Source organism: Homo sapiens, chromosome 4, assembly GCF_000001405.40.
Source record: "Homo sapiens chromosome 4, GRCh38.p14 Primary Assembly".
NCBI lineage: Eukaryota > Metazoa > Chordata > Mammalia > Primates > Hominidae > Homo > Homo sapiens.
Window position 1 is genome coordinate 98028471 of NC_000004.12, and position 24579 is coordinate 98053049.

The following is a 24579-nucleotide window of genomic DNA, read 5'->3' on the forward strand; positions in this document are numbered from 1 at the left end:
AATCCCCTTTCCAATAGTTTCAAATAATGTCTTCCTCATTTTCTTCTGATCCTTCACTAGCAGTAAGTATCTTTAACGTCCATATTTCTACCAACAGTCTGTTTAGGATAATTTTCTTTTTAGAGATATGAATAAATTAGTTTTATTTTCTTATAGTAGATGTTTTGAACCTCATTTAATAGTTCCTTGTTTCGTTGTGGAGAACAGAGCTACAGAATTTTATTTCACCTACTTCCACTCAGTTATCTCTCTTCCTCTTTGGAGTTTAGTTTCTCTTTTTTATTTTCTATTTCCTAAGTGTGAAAGCTGAGTACATTGATTTTACATCTTTCTTCTTTTCTAATATAAGCATTAATTCTATATATTACCCACTAAATACAAGATTTTATCCTACAAATGTCAATATGCTATGTTTTCATTTTCACATAGCTTGAAATATTTTCTGATTTTCCTCATAATTTCCTCTTTCACCTATGGTTTATTTGGAAGTATGTTGCTCAATTTCCAAATTATAATAATTTTCCAGACATTTTTCTGTGATTTATTTTTTGTAAACATTTTTGTGATCAGAGAGCATATTTTCTATTATTTCAATACTTTAAATATATTAAAACTTGTTTTATTAATAAAAATGTTCTATCTTGGTAAATGTTCTATGTGCATGTAGAAATATGCGTATTATGCATATTTAAACATATTGGGTGGCATGTTCTATAAGTGCTTATTAGGTCACACTTGGCTAATAGTCCTGTTCAATCTTCTATAACCTCACTGAGGTCTCACTCTATCAATTATTGAGACCAGAGTAGTGAAATAGCTACCCATAATTGTTAATTCTTTATTTCTCCATTCTATTCTGTCAGTTGTTCCCTCAAGCATTCTGAATCTCTATACATGCATATACCTTTAGGATTACCGTGTCTTCTCGATGATCTCTTTCTTTTTCATTATGAAATATCCCTCTTTATCTCTAGTAATACTCTTTATTCTTATATGTATTTTATCTGATACTAATATAGCCACTACAGCATTTTTATTGATGCTTGCACAATATATCACTTTTCATGCTTTTACTTTTAGCCCATGGGTATCTACACATTCAAAGTATATTAATTAGAAATAGCACAGTTGTATCATGCTTTTATATTTTATATTAGTTATCTGCAGAAGAGGACATAGAAGTATTACAAAATCCTAGGGTTGCGTGCTCTTATTCTCATATTGGTACTTTCCAGAGGCTTTCTAAAGCACCCCAGTTTGCAACGAACACTTCAAGTATTATTTGATCTGCTGAATCATAAGGCCTGAATGAAAAAGTAGCTTGCAATGCAGCCTGAACGTACTATAGAGCTTTGTCTTCTTCTGGTTCCCACTCAAAACTGCACACTTATCAGTATCTCAGTAGAAAGGCCAAAGTAACACACCCAAATGCAATATATATTATCTCTAAAACCCAGAAAGACCTACCAAGAGTTGTAACTCTTTTTCATGGTAGATGGTGGAAGGAATGGCAACTTGTCTTTCACCTTGGAGGGGATATTTTGACATTATCCAGGCCACTGGACCCCAGAAACTTCACTGCAGTAAGAGGCCCCTGAAATTTCATGGGGTTAATCTTCCATTATCCGGTTTGCAAGATTCTTCCTACTTACAGCTATTCAAATCTAATCAGCATAATGCCATCAATATACCAGACTATGTTGTTTTGCACCAGTAAAAATGCTGTATCTGAGAAAGCAGCTGCAGTCTCTATCACCACCATCTGATTAAGTCTATAATGACCCACAGTCACCTCCCAAAATTAATCTGGCTTCTGCACAGCTCACATAGGCAAATTACATAGAGATGTGATAACTATCTCTACTCCTGAGTCTTCCAAGTCTCTGATGGTGGCAATAATCTATGCAATTCCCCAGAAATTCAGTATTGTATCTGGCTTTATACATTATCAAGGGAGAAATTTCCACAATGTTGTTAAAATGGCCATACTGCCCAAATAAATTTATAGACTCAATGCTATTTCTATTAAAGTACCATTGACATTCTTCAGAGAACTAGGGAAAACTAAAATTCAGATGGAACCAGAAAAGAGCCTGAAAAGCCAAGGCAATCTTAAGCAAAAAGAAAAAAGCTAGAGGCAGTATGCTACCCAACTTCAAATTAGAGTCCAGGCCTACAGTAACCAAAACAGCATGATACTGGTACAAAAAAATAGTCACATAGACCAACAGATCAGAAAAGAATACCCAGAAATAAGACCACACACCTACAACTATCTGATCTTCAACAATCTTGACAAAAACAAGCAATGGGGAAAGGATTTTCTATTCATTAAACGGTGCTGAGATAACTGGCTAGTCATATGCAGAAGACTGAAACTGGGCCCCTTCTTTACACAATGTACAAAAATTAACTCAAGATAGATTAAAGACTTAAATTTTAAAATTCATATGGAACCAAAAAAGAGCCTGCATAGCCAAAGCAAGACTAAGCAAAAAGAACAAACGTGGAGGCATCACACTACCTGATTTCAAACTATACTTTAAGGCCAGAGTCACCAAAACAGCATGGTACTGGTATAAAAACAGGCACATAGACCAATGGAACAGAATAGAGAACCCAGAAATAAACCCAAATACTTAAAGCCAACTGATATTCAACAAACAAAAACATAAAGTGGTGAAAGGACACCCTTTTCAACAAATGATGCTAGGATAATTGCCTAGCCATATGTAGAGAATGAAATTGGATCCAATCTCTAACTTTATATAAAAATCAACTCAAGATTGATTAAGGACTTAAATTTAAGACCTGAAACTAAAAATTCTAGAAGATAACATTGGAGGAACCCTTCTAGATATTGGCTTAGGCAAGGATTTTATAACCAAGAACCCAAAAGCAAATGCAATTTTAAAAAAAGTAAATGGGCCAGGCATGGTGGCTCACACCTGTAATCCCAGCACTTTGGGAGGCTGAGATGGGCGGATCACAAGGTCAAGAGATGGAGACTATCCTGGCCAACATGGTGAAACCCCATCTCTACTAAAAATACAAAAAATTAGCTGGGCGTGGTGGCCTGTAGTCCCAGCCTATAGTCCCAGCTACTCAGGAGGCTGAGGCAGCAGAATCGCTTGAAACCGGAAGGCGGAGGTTGCAGTGAGCCGAGATCATGCCACCGCACTCCAGCCTGGGCAAAAAGAACAAAACTCTGTCTCAAAAAAAATAAAAAATAAAAAAAAGTAAATAACTGGGACTTGAACTAAAGAGCTTTTGTGTGGCAAAAGGAACAGTAAGCAGAGTAAACAGACAACCCAGAGAGTGGGAGAAAATCTTCATACTCTATACAATTGACAGAGGACTAATATGCAGAATCTACAAAGAAAACAAACAAGTCAGTAAGCAAAAAACAAACAATCCCATCAAAAAGTGGGCTAAGGACATGAATAGAAAATTATCAAAAGAAGATATACAAATGGCCAACAAACATGAAAAAATGCTCAACATCACTAATGATCAGAGAAATGCAAATCAAAACCACAATGTGGTACCACTTTACTCCTGCAATAATGGCCATAATCAAAAAATCAAAAAATAATAGATGTTAGCATGGATGTGGTGAACAGGGAATACTTCTACACTGCTGGTGGGAATGTAAACTGGTACAACTACTATGAAACACAGTGTGGAGATTCCTTAAAGAACTAAAAGTAGTTCCACCATTTGATCCAGCAATCCCATTATTGGTATCTACCCAGAGGAAAAGAAGTCACTATACAAAAAAGATACTTGCACATGCATGTTTATAGCAGTACAATTCACAACTGCAAAACCATGGAACCAACCCAAATGCCTATGAATCAACGAGTGGAAAAAGAAACTCTGGTATATATAAACTTACTCATGTAACCAAACACCACCTGTAACCCAATAACTTATGAAAAAATAAAAAATTTTAAAAATCACGAGATACCATCTAACACAAGTCATAATGGAAGACACAGAGACTCCCACACAATAATAGTGGGAAACTTTAACACCCGACTGTCAACATTAGACAGATCAATGAGACAGAAAATTAACAACAATATCCAGGACTTAAACTCACTTCCGGACCAAGCAGACCTAATGGACATCTACAGAACTCTCCACCCCAAATCAACAGAATATACATTTTTCTCAGCACCACATCGTGCTTATTCTAAAATTGACCACATAATTGGAAGTAAAACACTCCTCAGCAAATGCAAAAGAACGGAAATCATAACAAACTGTCTCTCAGACCACGGTGCAATCAAATTAGAACCTAGGATTAAGAAACTCACTCAAACCCACACAACTACATGGAAACTGAACAACCTGCTCCTGAATGACTACTGGGTAAATAACAAAATGAAGGCAGAATAAAGATGTTATTTGAAACCAATGAGAACAAAGACGCATGTCCCAGATCTCTGGGACACATTTAAAGCAGTGTGTAGAGGGAAATTTATAGCACTAAATGCTCACAAGAGAAAGCAGGAACGAACTAAAATCAACACCCTAACATCACAATTAAAAGAACTAGAGAAACAAGAGCAAACAAATTCAAAAGCTAGCAGAAGACAAGAAATAATTAAGATTAGAGCAGAACTGAAGAAGATAGAAACACACACACACACAAAAAAAACCCTTCAAAAAAATCAATGAATCCAGGAGCTAGTTTTTTGAAAAGATCAACAAAATAGATAGACTGCTAGCCAGATTAATAAAAAAGAAAAGAGAGAAGAATCAAATAGATGCAATAAAAAATAATAAAGGGGATATCACCACCAATCCCACAGAAATACAAACTAACATCAGATAATACTATAAACAACTCTACGCAAATAAACTAGAAAATCTAGAAGAAATGGATAAATTTCCGGACACATACAACCCCCAAGACCAAACCAGGAAGAAGTTGAATCCCTAAGTAGACCAATAACAAGTTCTGAAATTGAGGCAGTAATTAATAGCCTACCAACCAAAAAATGTCCAGGACCAGATGGATTCACAGCCAAATTCTACCAAAGGTACAAAGTAGAGCTGGTACCATTCCTTCTAAAACTACTCCGAATGATAGAAAAAGAGGGAATCCTTCCTAACTCATTTTATGAGGCCAGCATAATCCTCATACCAAAACCTGGCAGAGACAACAAAAAAAGAAAATTTTAGGCCAATATCCCTGATGAACATCGATGCGAAAATCCTCAATAAAATACTGGCAAACCGAATCCAGTAGCACATCAAAAAGCTTATCCACCACGATCAAGTCAGCTTCATCCCTGGGATGCAAAGCTGATTCAACATAGGCAAATCAATAAATGTAATCCATCACATAAACAGAACCAACAACAAAAACCACATGATTATCTCAATAGATGCAGAAAAGGCCTTTGACAAAATTCAACACCCCTTAATGCTAAAAACTCTCAGTAAACTAGGTATCGATGGAACGCATCTCAAAATAATAAGAGCTATTTATGACAAACCCACAGCCAATATCAAACTGAATGGGCAAAAGCTGGAAGCATTCCCTTTGAAAACCGGCATAAGATAAAAATGCCCTCTCACACCACTCCTATTCAACATAGTATTGAAAGTTCTGGCCAGGGCAATTTGGCAAGAGAAAAAAATAAACGGTATTCAATTAGGAAAAGAGGAACTCAAATTGTCTCTGTTTGCAGATGACATGATTGTATATTTAGACAACCCCATCGTCTCAGCCCAAAATCTCCTCAAGCTGATAAGCAACTTCAGCAAAGTCTCAGGATACAAAATCAAGGTGCAAAAATCACAAGCATTCCTATACATCAATAACAGACAGAGAGCCAAATCAGGAGTGAACTCCCATTCACAACTGCTACTAAGAGAATAAAATACCTAGGAATACAACTTACAAGACATGTGAAGTACCTCTTCAAGGAGAACTACAAACCATCACTCAAGGAAATAAGAGAGGACACAAACAAATGGAAGAACATTCCATGCTCATGGATAGGAAGAATCAATATTGTGAAAACAGCCATCCTGCCCAAAGTAATTCATAGATTCAATGCTATCCGCATCAAGCTACCATTGACATTCTTCACAGAACTGGAAAAAACTACTTTAAATTTCATATGAAACCAAAAAAGAGCCCTCATAGACAAGACAATCCTAAGCAAAAAGAACAAAGCTGGAGGCATCACGCTACCTGACTTTAAACTATACTACAAGCCTACAGTAACCAAAACAGCATATTACCGTACCAAAACAGATATATAGACCAATGGAACAGAACAGATGCCTCAGAAATAACACCACACATCTACAACCATCTGATCTTTGACAAACCTGACAAAAACAAGAAATGGGGAAAGGATTCCCTATTTAATAAATAATGTTGAGAAAACTGGCTAGCCATGTGCAGAAAGCTGAAACTGGATCCCTTCCTTACACCTTATACAAAAATTAACTCAAGATGGATTAAAGTCTTAAATGTAAGATCTAAAACCATAAAAACTCTAGAAGAAAACCTAGGCAATACCATTCAGGACATAGGCATGGGCAAAGACTTCTTGATTAAAACACCAAAAGCAATGGCAACAAAATCCAAAATAGACAAATGGGATCTAATTAAACTAAAGAGCTTCTGCACAGAAAAAGAAACGATCATCAGAGTGAACAGGCAACCTACAGAATGGGAGAAAAATTCTGCAATCTCTCCATCTGAAAAAGGGCTAAGATCCAGAATCTACAAAGAACTTAAACAAATTTACAAGAAAAAAACAAACAACCCCATCAAAAAGTGGGCAAAGGATATGAACAGACACTTCTCAAAAGAAGACATTTATGCGGCCAACAAACATAGGGAAAAAAAGCTCATTATCACTGGTCATTACAGAAATGCAAATCAAAACCACAATGAGATACCATCTCATGCCAGTTAGAAAGGCGATCATTAAAAGTCAGGAAACAGATGCTGGAGAGGATGTGGAGAAATAGGAACGCTCTTCCACTGTTGGTGGGAATGTAAATGAGTTCAACCATTGTGGAAGACAGTATGGTGATTCCTCAAGGATCTAGAACTAGAAATACCATTTGACCCAGCAATCCAGTTACTGGGTATATACCCAAAGGATTATAAATCATTCTACTATAAAGACACATGCACACATATGTTTATTGCGGCATTGTTCACAATAGCAAAGACTTGGAACCAACCCAAATGCCCATCAATGACAAACTGGATAAAGAAAATGTGGCACATATACACCATGGAATACTATGCAGCCATAAAAAAGGATGAGTTCATGTCCTTTGCAGGGACATGGATGAAGCTGGAAACCATCATTCTCAGCAAACTAACACAAGAACAGAAAATCAAACACTGCATGTTCTCACTCAGAAGTGGGAGATGAACAATGAGAACACATGGACACAGGGAGGGGAACATCACACACCAGGGCCTGTCGAGGGGTGGGGGCTAGGGGAGGGATAGCATTAGGAGAAATACCTAATGTAGATGATGGGTTTATGGGTGCAGCAAACCACCATGGCACATGTATACCTCTGTAACAAACCTACATGTTCTGCACATATACCCCAGAACTTAAAGTATAATAAAAATAAATAAATTTTTAAAAACACAATACTCAAAAAAAGAGAAAAAAAGTCAAAAAAATAACAGATGCTGGTGAAGTTTTCGAGATAAAGGAACACTTATACACTGTTGGTGCGACTGTAAATTAGTTCAGCCATTGTGGAAGAAAGTATGGTGATTCCTCAAAGACTTCAAGACAGAATACCATTCAACCCAGCAATCCCATTACTGGGTATATACACAAAGGAATATAAATTATTCTATTATAAAGATACATGCATGCATATGTTCACTGTAACACCATTCACAATAGCAAGGACGTGGAATCAACCTAAATGACCATCAAAGATAGACTAGATAAAGAAAATGTGGTACATGTATACCATGAAATACTATGCAGCAATAAAAAAGAACAAGATCATGTCCTTTGCAGGGACATGGATGGAGCAGGAGGTCATTATTCTCAGCAAACTAACACAAGAACAGAAAACCAAATACCACGTATTCTGTCTTATAAGTGGGAGCTAAATGATGAGAACACATGGACACCGAGAGGAACAACACATACTGAGGTCTTTCAGAGGGTGGAGGGTGGGAAGAGGGAGAGGATGAGAAAAAAATAACTAACGGGTACCAGGCTTAATACCTAGGTGATAAAATAGTTTGTACAACAAACCCCCTTGACACAAGTTTACCTATGTAACAAACCTGCACTTGTATCACTGAACTTAAAATAAAAGTTAAAAAAGAAGACACAAAGATTAAAGGTATAAAAAATTATTTTAAGAATAAAAAATCAACACAACTAAAAATATAGTTTTCTTAGTCATAAAAATTGTATGCTTTAAGCCACAAAATTTTTCAAGTTAGCGAAAATTGACCACTTTATGCAAACTAGAATTAGCAAAATTAACTTTAAAAAATAGTAAACCTGAATAAATCAATGTCGATTAAATAATCTGAAGTAATAGACAAATATCTCTCCCAAGAAGAAACACCCAGGCCCAGGTAGTTTTATAAACAATTTCTAATAATTCTTCAAGGAAGAAAATTTCCCTATTTGTGCTAACTTTTCCAATGAGTGAAAAAAAGAGGGAACACTTATAAAATCTTCATACCAAAACCAAAAATGGAGAACACAAGAAAAGCATGTAGCAATCCCACTTATGAACACATATGCAAACGTACCAGTAAATTTAAAAACTACTAATATATAACAAATGCAAGATGCTTTAATATCAAGAAAAATGTATTCACATACTTTATGACCCAAACAAATTAAGGGAGACAAGTCTTATAAACATCTTAATGTATATACAAAATTAATAAATTTCAACACACACTAATGAGTATTTTTTAAGCCAGCAAAATTAAGGCTAGAAGATAATAAAAGATATGTCCCAAAAACCCACAGCATCATACCTATAAGTAAAATTTAATAAGCATTTCTATTTATCAGGAAGACAAAGATGTCTATCACTGATACGCAACATAGTATGTCTTAGTGGATGTAATGAAAGGAAAAAAAGAAAGGGAAAGAGGAAAGGAGTAAGGGAGTGAGAAAGCAAAGAGGAAGACAATTCAAGGAAAACACAAAAGAATTAAAAAAGAATATTCAAAGTTATTATTTTAAGGAACTCTTCCTATAGAAAAACCATAAGCAAGTTAAAGAGTTGCTGGATCAAAGAACAAAATACATAAATCAACATTGTTCCTACATACCAACAATAATTCATAAGAAAATACAGATTTAAAAAGATGTAATTTGCAACAGCAAATAAAAGCCTACATGGTGTCTAGAAATAAATTTAACAAATATGTACAAGACCTTTGAGGAAAAATTTGTAAATATCATGAAAGAAGATAAATATAGATCTAAACAGAGAGATATAGCATGGTTTAGATGTGACGATTGTATAATAAATGTGATCCAAATGAAGCTTTTGTTTTTTGCTTTTGCTTTTTATTTTTTTAATTTTTCTTTTAAGACAGGGTCTTGCTATGGTGCCCAGGCTAGCCTTGAACTCCTGGGCTAAAGCTATCTTCCCACCTCAGCCTCCCAAGTACCTAGGACTACAGGCACATGTTACTGCACCTGGCTTGTTTTGGTTTTTTGACTGAGACAAACAGATTCTAAAATTAATAACGGAAGATCATATGTCTATGAAAAGCCAAGAAATATATCATATGGAAGAATTAAAGGTGAGGGCAGTATAGGGGATCTTAGTCCATTTGATACAAGATTTGTTAAACTGTAAAGTTAAAAATAGTGTGGTATTGGTTTGAGATTAGAAACAGATCAGTAGAACCAAATAGAAATCTCAGAAGTGGAAACAATTTTTTTTTATTTTATTTCATTTACTAGTACAATGTATATTACAGAAGCACCATTACAAATCAGTGGAGAAAAGAGTATGTAACGTAGGCATATTTTGGTAACTGCTTTTAAACACAAATAAGAGAATCTCACATCCCATGCACACAAAAAAAAGTGTTCCACATAAATGTCAAATCTCAGCAAGAATTCAAAAGAAAATATAAAATAGCCTTATTTCAACAAGGTAGGAAAAATATTTCTCAAAAAAGATACCAAAAAATAAAACCTGTGAATAAAAAAATTAATAAATTTGATCATACTGAAAAAAATCTGTAGAGAAAGTCCATGAACAAAGTAAAACGAATAGCCAAGGATTAGAAAATATTAAACACATCTAAAAGACATTAGGACTGGTATCCAGAATACATAACAACTGCCTAAAAATCAACAGGCAGAGAATATGAACAGGAATTCATAGAAGAGGAAATAGAAACAGCAAATAAACATAGGAAACAATGTCAACTTACATAGTAAAAAGAGAAATAGAACCTAAGAGATACACATACCCATCACTCTGAAGTCAGAAAATACTAAGTGTTGATGAGGATTGCTGAGACAAGAACTCTGCCCAACGTTAAAATAATAAGTAAGTATAACCACATTAGGAAAGAAATTGGTAATAGCTAATAAAGTTGAAAATGCACATACCTTACAAACCAGCAATTGCTGACTGGTTATATACCCTTGTGTATCAAAGACACAGGCAAAGACGGTTAGTGCAACATTATTTGTAATAGCAAAAAATTAGAATCAAACTAAATGTATATTAGTATGTATATATATAAATGAACTGTACTAGTCATACAATAGAATTCTACACTGGAGGAAAACTAATTAAAACAATCCTACTTGTATGAATGTGAATAAATCCCCCGTGGGAGAAAAAAAGTTTTAAAAATATTTAAAATATGACCATTTATTTAACTTTCTAAATAGATCATTTGTGAATAAATATCTATCCCACCCTCCCACTTTTGGGAGTGTCCAATGTCTGTGTACATATACATATTTCTTTTGTGTATATATATATATACAAGAAATACATATATATATACCATATTTCTTTTGTGTAAATATGTATACACAAAAGTGGAGGGTGGAAGAGGGATGAGGGATGGGTGCAATGCACATTATTTGGGTGACAGTTACACTAAAAGCCCAATATTTACCATTGTGCAGTATATTCATGTAACAAAACTGCCTTTGCACCCCTTAAAATTACATATGTGATACATATATATATATATATCTCACATTTTCTTTATCCAGTCATCCACTGATGGACACTTAGGTTGATTCCATGACTTCACTATTGTGAAGAGTGCTGTGATAAATATATGTCAGGAATCTTTTTTATATATGATGTATTTTCCTTTGGGTAGATATCTAGTAGTGGGATTGCTGGATGAAATGGTAATTCTAATTTTATTTCTTTAAGAAGATTCCATATTATTTTCCATAAAGGCTGTACTAATTTACATTTCTACCAATAGTGTATAACTGTTCCCTTGTTTCTGCATCCTTGCCAACATCTGTTATTCTTTGACTTTTTAATAATAGCCATTCTGACTGGTGTAAGAAAATATCTCATTGTAGTTTTGATTTGCATTTCTCTGATGATTAGTGATATTGAACATTTTTTCATATCTTTGTTGGCCACTTGTATATCTTCTTTTGAAAAATGTCTCTTTATGCCCTTTGCCCACTCTTTATTGGGGCTTTTAGGGTTTGTCGTTCTTGTTTGAGTTACTTGTAGATTATGGATATTAGTCCCTTGTCAGATGCATAGTCCGAAAATATCTTCCCTCATTCTGCAAGTTGTCTGTTCACTCTGTTGATTATTTATTTTGCTATGCAGAAGCTTTTTAGTTTAATTAAGTCCCATTTGCCTATTTGTTTTGGTTGCTTGTGTTTTTAAGGTCTTAGTCATAAATTCTTTGCCTGGGCCAATGTCCGGAAAAATTTTTCCTAGGTTTTCTTCTAGGATTTTTAGAGCTTCAGGTCTTACATTTAAGTCTTGAATTCATCTTGGGTTGATTTTTTTATATGGTGAGAGATATGGGTCCAATTTCACTCTTTTAGTATGGCTAGCCAATTTTCCCGGCACCATTTATTGACTAAGGACCTTTTCCCTATATATGTTTTTGTTGACTTTATTAAAGATAAGTTGGCTGTAGGTATGTGGGTTTATTTCTGGGTTCTCTATTCTGTTCCATTGATCTATGTGTCTATTTTTATACCAGTACCATGCTATTTTGGTTACTTAGCCTTGTATTAAGACTATAATTCGAAGTCAGACAATGTGATGTCTCCTGCTTTGTTCCTTTTGCTTAGGATTGCCTTGGATAGTCGAGCTCTTTTTTGTTTCCATATGAGTTTTTAGAATTATTTTTTCTACTTCTGTGAAAAACGACATTGGTATTTTGACAGGAATTGCATTAAATCTGTAGACTGCTTTAAGAATCAACATTGAATCAAAAGAATCAGTATTTCAACAATATTGATTCTTCCCATTTCACGAGCATGGGATACTTACTCATTTGTCTGTGTCATCTACGATTTCTTTCATCAGTGTTTCACCATTTTCCTTTCTTTTCACTTCCTTGGTTAAATATATTCCTAGGTATTTTATTATTTTTGTAGCTATTGTAAATGGGATTGATTTCTTGATTTGGTTCTCAGCTTATTTTTGGTATATAGAAATGCTACTGATTTTTGTACACTGATTTCATATCTCGAAACTTTACTGAATTCATTTATCAAATGTTAAGAGTCTTTTGGAGAAGGCTCTAGGGTTTTCTACACACAATTTCATATCAGCAACCAGAGATAATTTGAAATCCTCTTTTCCAATTCAGATGTATTCTTTCTGTCTCTTGCCTGATTGCTCTGGCTAGAACTTTCCATACTATGTTGAATAGGAGTGGTAAAATTGAACATCCTGTCTTGTTCCACTTCTTGTGGGAGAAGAGGATATTTTAACCTTTCTCCATTCTGTATGATGTTGGCTGTGGGTTTGTTGCCTATGGCTTTTATCATTTTGAGGTATGTGTTCCTTCTATGCCTAGTTTTTGAGGGTTCTTATCATGAAGTGATGCTAAATTTTATCAAATGCTGCTTCTGCATCTATTGAGATGATCATATAGTTTTTTGTTTTTAATTTTGTTTATGCAATGAATCACATTTATTGATATGTATATGTTGAACCCTCCTTGCATTTCTGGAATAAAACCCACTTGATCGTGGTGTATTACATTTTTGAGGTGCTCATGGATTCAGTTTGCTAGTATTTTGTGGGAGATTTTTGCATCTGTGTTCATCAGAGATATTGTTCTGTAGTTTTCTTTTTGTGTTATATCCTTGTCTGGCTTTGCTATCAGGGTGACATTGACTTTGTAAAATGAGTTAGGGAGGATTTCCTCCTCTTCAACACATGGGAATAATTTCCGCAGAATTGGTACAAGTTCTTCTTTGTATGTTTGGTAGAATTTGGCTATGAATCCATCTGGTCCTAGGCTTTCTTTTCTTAGGAGATTTTTTATTACTGATTCAATCTCACTACTTGTTATTGCTCTGTTTAGAATTTCTGTTTCTTCGTGGTTCAATCTGGAAATAATATGTTTCCAGGAATTTATCCATTTCCTCTAGGTTTTCTAAGTGTGTGGGCATATCGTCATTCATAGCAGTCTCTGATAATCTTTTGTATTTTTATGAGATCATTCATAAGTGTGTCTTTTTTCATTTCTGATTCTTTATTTGGATTTTCTCTGTTTTTTTTGGTAAGTCTAGTGAGTGGTTTATCAATTTTGTCTTTTCAAAAACACAACTTTTCATTTCATTGATTTTTTTGTACTTTTTTTACTTCAATTTTATATAGTTCTACTCTGATCTTTGTTCTTTCTTTCCTTTTGCTAGCTTTGGGTTTGGTTTGCTTTGGTTTCTCTAGACTCATAAGGTGTAACAGTAGGTTACTAATTTGTGGTGTTTCTTTTTATGTTTGCATTTAACACTATAAACTTCCCTCTTAACACTGTTTTTGCTGTGTCCCAGATGTTCTGGTATGTTGTGTCCCCATTTTTATTCATTTCAAAAAAAATCAATTTTTATCTTAATTTTGCATTCTTCAGGAGCCTGTTGTTTAATCTCCATGTATTTGTAAAGTTTCAAGAGCACCTATTGTTATTGACTTCTCTTTTAATTCAATATGGGTTAAGAAAATATGTATTATAATTTTGATTTTCAAAAATTTATTGAAACTTCTTCTCTGACCTGAAAAAATCTATCTTGGAAGTGTTCCATGTGCTGATGAGAAAAAATGTATATATTCTGCAGTTATTGAGTAGAATATTCTATTAGGTCCATTTGGTCTAAAGTCCAATTTAAGTCCAGTGTTTCTTTGTTGATTTTCTGTGTCAATGATCTGTCTAGTGTTGTCAGTGGGGTGTTGAAGTCCCCCACTATTATCAAATTGTAAGAAGGGTATTGAAGTGTCCTACTATTATTATATTGCTATCAATTTATCATTTCAGATCTGTCAATATTTGCTATATATATTTAAGGACTCAAATGTTGGGTGCATATATTACAATGGTTATATCTTCCTACTGAATTGACCCTTTCATCATTGTGAAGTAACCTTTTAGTCTCTAAAGATAGTTTTTTTACTAAAGCGTACTTTTCTAACATAACTACAGCCATTCCTCTTTTATTTCATTTACAATTTGCATGGAATATCCTTTTCCATCTTTTCACTTTTAGCATATGTGTATCCTTGAATCTAAAGTGAGTTTCTTATAACAGCACGCAGTTGGATGTTGTTTTTAATCTAGTCATCACTCCATTATCTTTTTAATTGTAGAGCTTATTTCATATACATCTTTAATAATTATTAATAAAGATTTACTATTGCTATTTTCTTAGCTATTTATTAACTATTTGTCTTGTAGTTCTTTTGTCCCTCTTTTTCTCTTGCTGTCTTTTGTGTTTTTTTGTATTGACAGTTTGGATTACTTTATCTGTTGTGTAACTTTTATAAGTATTTTCCTTGTGGTTACCAAGGGGCTTACATAAAATATTTTATAATAGTCTATTTTAGGCTGATAACAATGTAACTTCCCTTGCATCCAAGTACTCTTCAATTTACCTCTCCTCCCGCATATTATATGCTATTGATGTAAAATTTACATGTATTTATATTACATATGCATTAACATACTTTAGTTATCATTGTCTTTAATACTTTCATCTTTTTTCTTTAATAAAAATTACTTAAAACAATTAGGATTATTTGTCTAAATTCTTTTATGAATTTATTTTATTTTTATTTTTTACTTTTAGGTTTGGGAGTACATGTGCAGGTGTGTGATATAGGTAAACTCATGTCATGGGAGTATGTTGTACAGATTATTTTTTGTCACCCAGGCACTAAGTCTAGTACCCAGTGATTATTTTTTCTGCTCCTCTCCCTCCTCCCCACCTCCACCCTCAAGTAGGCCCCAGTGTCTGTTGTTCCCTTCTTTGTGTTCATGAGTTCTCATCACTTAGCTCCCACTTATATGTGAGGACAAACAGAATTTGGTTTTCTGTTCCTGCATTAGTTTGCTAAGGATAATGACCTCCAGCTACAATTTACCTCTCCTCCCCTCACAATATATGCTATTGCTGTCAAATTTTACATATATTTGTTATGTATATATTAGCATAATTTAGTTACCATTGTCTTTAATACTTTTTAACTTTTATAGTAGAATTAAAAGTGATTTACTCATCACTATTATAGTAATATACTACTTTCTTTTGATCTATGTATTTACCTTTACCAACAAGTTTCATACTTTCCTACACTCTTGTGTTTCTGTTTAGCATCCTTTCATCTCAACTTTAAAAATTCTCTTTAGCAATTTGGTCACAACAGTGACAGAAATTGCTGGATAAGCGAAGTGCCACTGGGTTCTTTGCCCTCCCTTCACACCTTGGGATAAATCTGTATCAAGATGGTTCTTTTCTAGATTTTCTCTACCTTTCTGCACTTACCTTTCTGCTCTGAGAAGCACAGCTACCTGCCTTCACTGAAATATACCTCAGGCTGAGAGATTTGGGGTGGGAGAGCAGGTCAGTTCATCTTCTGCAGGAAGGTGCAGCTTTTCCATATCAGCTCAACCATGCCGCCAGTCCATTCTTAAGGAACTGCTGACCAGGACTGATGATGATGCATTTTAGCTTTGAGTTTTTGGGGGTTATTCTACCAATAAACAGTCTATTGGGAAGAAAACAGTCCCAGGAATTAACAGATCAGAATGTTCACACTGGTTAATCTTTTTCTAACAATGAGCATGAAAGGTAGCAGAAGCTGGTATGTTTCCAGATGGTTCTTCTAATCAAACTAATTTTTCACTGTTGACAAGTGAGGCAAGGGTTGCACTGGACCGAAGGCTGAGGCTTGGCCATCTAGCATTCCACACAAAATTGTTTCCCATAAGCATTCCTTTTATTCTCTATTCTATCCTAGGTCTGCCTCACCATGAGACAGGAAAGCCTCCAGTACTAGCTGTTGTAGCAGTGCCCTTCATCCAGGGCAGCTAAAGGAGTCTTGGACCCTTGCTTTCTCTGGGATCCCTGCCCAGCACCTTCCTACAGAGATGACTTTAAAAGGAAAAAAAAAAAAGGAAAAACAACACCCCATTCCAAGGAGTCTGGCATTCCTGAATCCTCCTTCCCTGCTAGGTGCCTGTCACCTGTCTTCACTGCCTCCTTTTCCCTGTCATGCTCATCAGCTTATGGCTTCTGTCCAAGCACCTGAACAGAGGACTAGAACCTCCACTGCACGCTGGTTTTAGGTCTTGATTTATGTCAGAATCTTGCATAGCACTGCTAATGTAAATTTCAGTTTTTTCCCTCTAAGACAAACACCAAAATATCCAACTTTTTTTGGTGGGAAGAGAGATTGTCCTGTGATTTCTATCCATTTCCTGAGGCCTGTGGAAATAAACTTCATGTACTTAAAGTTATACAGAAAATAGAATAAACTTAACACCAAACTTGAAAAAACAATTCCCTTTGGCATTTCTTGTAAAACAAGTCTAGTGGTGATAAACTCCCTTGGCTTTTATTTGCCTGAAAAAGTCCTTATCTCCCCTTCATTTTAGTAGGATAGGTTTGCTCATATAGTATTTGGGGGTGACCATTTTTTTCTTTTAGCACTTTGATTATATTACCCTACTCCCTTCTGACCTGCAAGATTTTTGCTAAAAAATATTTATTTATTTATTTATCTATTTTAATAAATCTGCTGATTGTCTTATGGCGCTCCCATGTACACAAGTTGCTTTTCTCTAGCTGCTTTCAAAATTCTCTAGCATTTGACCACTTGTATATGTTGTGCCTCTTTGCATTCATTTTATTTGGTGTCCTTTGGGCTTCCTGGAGCTGGATTACTATTTTCTTCCCTAGGTTTGGAAATTTTTCAGCCATTATTTCTTTGAATAAGCTTTCTATCCCTTCCTCTTTCTCTTCTCTCCTTCTTTAATTCAAATAATGTATACATTGTTCTGCTGAGTGGTATCCATAAGTCCCTTAAGTGATCTTCATAGTTTTTTCATTCTTTTTTTTTTTTTTGGCTCCTTTGATTAGAAAATTTCCAATGACCTGTCTTCAAATTCACTGATCATTTCTTCTGTTCTCTCTAGTCTGCTATTGAACATCTCCACTGAATTTTTCAGATCAGTTGCTGGATTCTTCAGCTCTATCACTTCTGTCTGACTTTTTTCTATCTCTGTTGAAATTCTCACATTGTTCATACAATGCTCTCCTGATCTCAGTAAGGATCCTTATGGCCATTATTTTGGATTCTTTGTTAGATAAATTACTTATCTAAATTTCATGAGGGCCAGTTTCTGGAGCTTTGTTATTTCATTTGGAACATATTTCCCTATTTCTTCATCTTCCTTGACTCTCTTTATTGCTTTTGGCATATTAGACTATAACTCTCCCAGTCTCGTCAGACTGGCCATGTGTAGGAGATGAACCTAACCAATCAGCCTGGCCAGAGATTCTGGGTGCCTCTGAAACCAGTGAGCTTGTCCAAAATCTCATCTTTGCTCTTACCGTCCCCCAGGAGATTAGGGTGTGCCAAGCCCATTCAGTGCCCCTAGAAAGTCAGTATGGAATTAAGTCCTTCAAGATGCGGCCAAAAAAGTTGAGGAGTTAGACATGTGTTCCAGTTCCTTTTCTCCTCAGGGAGAAACTGGTAGCTAATTTTATCTCACTCACTCTGCTCTAAGATGGAGAGAGGATCAGTGGCAAACATCTCCACTCTCATTCAGACCACACACTCTTTAAACCCACTGCTTTGCTTTTTGTCACCCCTGGCTTCCATCTGCTCTCAGAAACAGGTGGAATAGCTGGAGTCTTGGTTCTATCTCTTGAGTGAACCACAAGGAGGAGCTACAGAAATTTCCCACACACTCATTTAGTCTCCCAGAGAAATACAAATAGCCTGTTTCATCAGCTGCCAGATGTGAGCTAATTAAAGGCCCGACCCACAGGCAGCAGCTGGTAATGTTAGGACATTAGGTGTGTAGTCAAACCCCTTCCAGGGAGAAATTGGGAGCTAGCTGTTGTAGCCTTCTTGCTCTGCACTAGCCAGAAGGAGTAGCCACTAGAAATGTTCACACATCCATTTAAACCCACCTCTTCGTTCTATGTGGTCTCAGGGAACTCCCAAATGCCAAGAACCATTCAGCCCCAGAGCTAGGTGATTCAAGTAGCCAGCCCCTCAAGTAGGAGCTTTAAAAGCTGCATGCTTATGTGTGGATAAACTGACAAGGAGAAGCTGGAGACCTGATTTTATCACTGAAGCAGGACAGGGATAAAAAGCATGAGGAGCGCCCATACACTTATTTAAACTTCCCTAGAGGTCTACCTGTTTCATCAGCTCCCAGATGCAGGCAAGTTAGAAACCTGACCCACAGGCAGCAGCTTGGAAATTGTGCAGGCAAATCCCTTCCAGGGAGAAACGGGGATCTAGGAGTTTCTGCCTATTCACTCTGCATTAAATTCATGGGATAGCTGCTGGAAGTGCTCATGCGCCTGTTTAAATCCACATCTTTATTCTCTGTGGTCCTAGAAGACTCACAAGTGTAGAGGCCTATCAGTTCCCACAGCTAGATGATTTAGAAGCCAATCCCTCATGTAGGAGCTATAAAAGTTGGAGCACTCAATACGTGAACAAACTCCTTTGAAAGACAAGCTGAAGACCTGGTTTTATTGCTAGAGCCAGCCACAAGGAAAAGGTAGGTCTTGTATTTTTAGAAATAACCAAAGGAAACTTCTGTATTTAAATACAACAATTTTTATAATATTCTTCATATTTTTCTGCATTGCAAACTTTTCAAGAATTTATTCTGAGATTTTAAAATGTTAATAAAGTATGGATTAAACACGAGCTAAAAAAATAAGTGGATACGTGATACATAAATGTAGATGACAACATTTTTCCTGATAAAAAGAAAACTCTCACAGAGATTATAGAGACCGGAGACAGTATTTCTCAACTAAACGTAGTATTAAGGTCACCAGAAGAACTCTAAAACTATACAAGTGACTACCAACCCTACTGACTCAGATGCTAGGGACAAAAGTATGGTTTTTTTAAGTGTAATTCTAGTGCACATAAATATCCTGGGGAATGTACAGACCAAGGGGGCAGAAGGCATAACTCTCCAGCTTGGAAAGGATGAAGCAATGTATTATAATCTTCCCCAGATTCTCTTGGCTTTCTCTTTTAATCTACAAGATAAAATAAGATAAAATAGGAAAAAGAATTTACAGAGGAACTCCAGGTTTTCAAGAATAATAAGACACTATCCTGGATTAGAGTTCATATAATTAGAGAAAGTAGCAAAGCAACTAATCCTATCTGAAGAACAAAGTTTATCTTAAATTAGAAAGAGCAGTTAATGTTATATGTAGGCTTTTTGATGCAGAAAACAAAAGAAAGTACACATAAAAAATTTTGAGAGATCTTGGTGGGTTCCCTGCTGCAGTGCTCATCCTGTGCTCTCTTGTTCCCTGGGCTGTCTCCTCCGCTTGCTTTCTGGCTCTACCATGCCCTGCTCTGAAGAGACACCTGCCATTTCCCTCAAGAAGCAGGCCAGCCCTGCGGAGGAGAGTGGCATGCAGCCCCACTTTGCCTGGCTCCCTGAGCACACCGCAGACTCAACTCAGGGATCCACAGGGACCACAGACTATGACCTATACAGTGCCTATTATTATACAATACTACCTATGGACAAAGTTCTTGTGAAAACAGACATCCAGATATGTCTTGCATGTGGATGTTATGGAATAGTTGCTCTATGGTCTGGCTTGGCTGCAAAACACTTTATAGATGTAGGAGCTGGTGTCATATAAAGACTACAGAGGAAATTTTGGTGATATAATGTTTAATTTTGGCAAAGAAAAGTTTGAAGTCAAAAAAATGATTGGATTGCACAGCTCATTTATGAATGAATTTTTTATACATAAAGAGATATTCAAGACTTGGATGATACTGAAGGGGGTTCAGGAGATTTTGGTTTCACTGGAAAAAATCAAAATTTATGCCAAGAATAGTAAATGAAAAAATTATACCTTTTTCTTAAAAGTAAAGAGTTTTTGCTTAAAAAGAAAAACAAAAAAACTTAATTCCTTTTTCCTTTAAAGCAGAATTTGTCAAAATTATAATTAGTTAAATAATGCTAAATAAGAATTAAATTTGTGGGGTAGAAGGGTCTCTAATGAACACTCGACTTGAAGTTTTAGAATAAAATGTAGCTGGGTCAGAATATCAAGCCCGTTGTTTACTACCTATAAAACTTTGGTTGAATTACTTAACCTGCATGAGCTTGAGCTTCCTCAGCTTCAGAATAAAAATAAACACTAAGGATAACACTAAACATTTTATTATACCAGAAAGCAAGGAAGGAATCAAAGATTGCTTGGTTTATGTAAAAAGAACCCAGGAGCTAAATCCAAAGGCTCCCAACTATCAAAAACAGAACATATTGAGCAGCAGTAAGAATACTTATTGAAACACATATATTTAACTCTATGAATCCATAATGATAGTTTTTAAAAAATAAATGATCACCATTGGAGGATGCTAAGCAACAATTTATCTTTTGAAAAGCAATAAATTTTAAAAATCAAGCATGTATCTTGCCTTTTCTATATGTACTATACCACAGTTCCAACAGTAAACAGTTTTATTTCAACTAATAAGACTAAAATTTATAGGCTATGGCCATTCTTCAACTCCTAATAAATAATAGGTCTAGATTTTGATCATCAATGGCCACCAATATTACAAAGAGAGAGAAAACAAACATTTATGTCCCTCCTGATTTTTTTAGTACACAATACCATCTACAAAGCAGTCTTGCTGAAAGGATTGTGCATTAATCTGATTATGCCTCTAGTCTACAAATTTATAGAAAATACAAAAGACAAAGAAACATACTAAAAGACACCATTGGGAAATACTCAGAAAAGCCAGACTAGGAAATTCAAGAGAATAATAAACTTATTTTGATAAATATAATATAATGAAGAGATAGAGAGGAAGCATATGTATTTTTACAAATTAAGAACTATATCAACCAATTACAATGTATGGATCTTATTTGGATTCTGATTAAAACAAAATTTATTAAAAATATGAGGCAATTGGGAAAATTTGAACACAAAGAAGCTAGCTGAGGATATTAAACTATTTTCATTTTATAAGTATGATATTAGCATTGTGATTATGTTTGAGGTATACATATTAAAATGTTTACAGATTAAAATATATATCTGGTATTTACATCAAAATAATTGAAGAAGGAAAGTAGAAATAAAACATGGTTGACCATGAATTGAAAATTATTAAAGCTGAGTGATGGGCACATGAGGATTCATGATAATAGTCTCTCCACTTTTGTGTTTGTTTTGCATTATTCACATTAAGTTTTTTATTTTTTAAAAAAAAGGGGGTTCTGCCCCTCTCTCTTCCTGAATCCTTGCTTATACTGGCCAGGCTGCTTTTCAGTGAGAAGGCATCTGACAGAGAGCTCATTACAGCCTCTGACCATACTCACAGGAGTTGAGGAACATTGAATCTGAGGGAGAGCCTGAATTCCTACAAAAGCTCATCTCTAAGGTTTCCACCTTGAACTAGATCTGCTAAAAGACAATCATCAAAAAAGTGAGGCTAATAAAAGAGAAAAATCATACCAATGTTTTTAACGAAAAGGAAGCCGGGCGCGGTGGCTCACGCCTGTAATCCCAGCACTTTGGGAGGTTGAGGCGGGTGGATCATGAGGTCAGGAGATCAAGACCATCCTGGCTAACATGGTGAAACCCCGTCCCTACTAAAAATACAAAAAATTAGCCGGGCGTGGTGTCGGACGCCTGTAGTCCCAGCTACTCGGGAGGCTGAGGCAGGAGAATGGCATGAACCTGGGAGGCGGAGCTTGCAGTGAGCCGAGATCGTGCCACTGCACTCCAGCCTGGGCGACACAGAGAGACTCCATCTCAAAAAAAAGAAAAAAAAAAAGGAAAAAAATTGATGTCAGGAAGATGGCAGAATAGGAATTCTCTGTCTTCACTCCCCATCAACAGAAATCCAAACAATTGCTGAATCCTGTTCACATCTTTGCCTAACTAATGAGAGATCCACCTTAGGTAGCTAGCTAGAAATGCCAAAGGAAGTTAGTTCCCTAATCTGCCAAAGTTAAAATTAATTCTATCAAAGTTAAAGATGATCCTAACAAAACTGAAGTACCTACCTGATCATCTATACTGATGCTACCTTATCAATATTTGCAAAATTTTTTTCTAGCACAGAAGAAAAACGATCACAAAATGAAGGTTTTTATGGTTTGAATATGTCCTTCCAATTTTTTCTGCTGAAAATTTAATCCCCACATTCATATGTTGATGGCATTGGGAAATGGGGCTTTAGGGAGGCAATTAGGATTAGATAAAGTCATCAAGGTGGGAACCCCATGATAGGACTAGTGGCTTTATAGGAAGGAAGACAGACCTGAGCTGACATGCTCCCTTGCTCTCATCACGTGATACTTTCCACCATATTATGATATAACACAAACACCTTGCCAGATGCTTGTGCTATGCTCTTCAACTTCCCAGTCTCCAGAATCATGAGCCAAATAAACTTATTTTCTTTATAAGTTACCTAGTTTGTAATAATCAGTTATAGCAATGGGAAACAAACCTAAGACAAAGATTTTGGAGGTTCTGCATATTGTCAAGCAGAAGAAGAGAGGACATATTGCTTGAGAGCATCATAGAGGAACAAAAGCTCTGGCCAATATACATAAATAGGAAACACGCTGGGCGCAGTGGCTCAAGCCTCACTTTGGGAGACAGGTGGATTCCCTGAGGTCAGAATTTCCAGACCAGCCTGACCAACATGGTGAAACGCTGTCGCTACTAAAAATACAAAATTAGCCAGGTGTGGTGGTGCAAGCCTATAATCCCAACTACTCAAGAGGCTGAGGCAGGAGAATCATTTGAACACGGGAGGCGGAGGTTGAAGTGAGCTGAGATTGCATCATTGCACTCCAGCCTGGGCCACGAGAGCAAAACTCTGTCTCAAAAAAAAAAAAAAAAAGAAACAAATTCACATTCAACTATAAAACCTATTATCTCCCAAAAATTTCTCAAGTGGGGAAAAAGGATATGATAGAGATTGAAACCCTCTATCCCCAGAAGCCCTTCTTTTTGGCAATCCATGTAATTTATTGCTTAAGGCATTTATTGGAGACAAGTTTCTTATGGCTCTTATTTGTTTATCTCTTGAGATGAGGAATATACCTGAACTTATCAAGTCAAAGCTAATATTCACTAACTTTAGTCTTGTATTACAATAAAAATAGCTCATTAGTTTTTTTCATTTTAAAAATATTATCTATTAATTGAGTTCTCACACCTGCCTCCTGCTCCACCCCAAGTGGTAACTAGCCACTGTTAATATTTTGGTCAACATCCTTTCAGATCTCTGTCTAAGGATATACATATAGGTATGATAGAGTTTTAAATTAAATATGTTTTTATGTTTTGTTGATGACTTTTTTAAAGTTCAATAATACATTCTTCACATTTAGCACTCCATTTTAATATACATCAATATAAATGTGAAAATATAAAAGGCTAAAAATATATACCTTAGGCAGTAATTAGGATAATTAACAGAAGCAAATGTTTGGTGACTAGAAAGCATTAAATAAAATCACATATTTAAAATACTTAACACAGTGGCTATCACTTACTTAGTAGGCATTGAACCAATGACCCATTCTGGAGAAGAATCTGTATAGTATGTCTATATACTCATAAATAAGTACCACCTATTAAAAGATAGCTAGTAACAACCACCCGATGCTAAATTTGACTGGCTTTCAAAGAGATAGTAAATTCGGTGACTGAATCCTGTCCTTTCCCTCCCTAACCTCACTGAGGAAGGGAAAATACAGTCTTATTCTCAGAAAGAAATCACATCAAGATATACCTTACCTCTCAAGTTTTGAGGAATATAAAAGGACTGATGAAACATTAG

The 24579-nt window shown here is 35.6% G+C and overlaps 1 protein-coding gene and 1 pseudogene across 7 annotated transcripts in view; one reads left to right on the forward strand and one right to left on the reverse strand.

Moving 5' to 3' along the window:
* STPG2 (sperm tail PG-rich repeat containing 2) overlaps positions 1-24579 on the reverse strand; it is a 702228-nt gene that overhangs the window by 587222 nt on the left and 90427 nt on the right. The gene's annotated exons all lie outside the window — the stretch shown is intronic.
* DUTP8 (deoxyuridine triphosphatase pseudogene 8) lies at positions 20029-20642 on the forward strand (annotated as a pseudogene).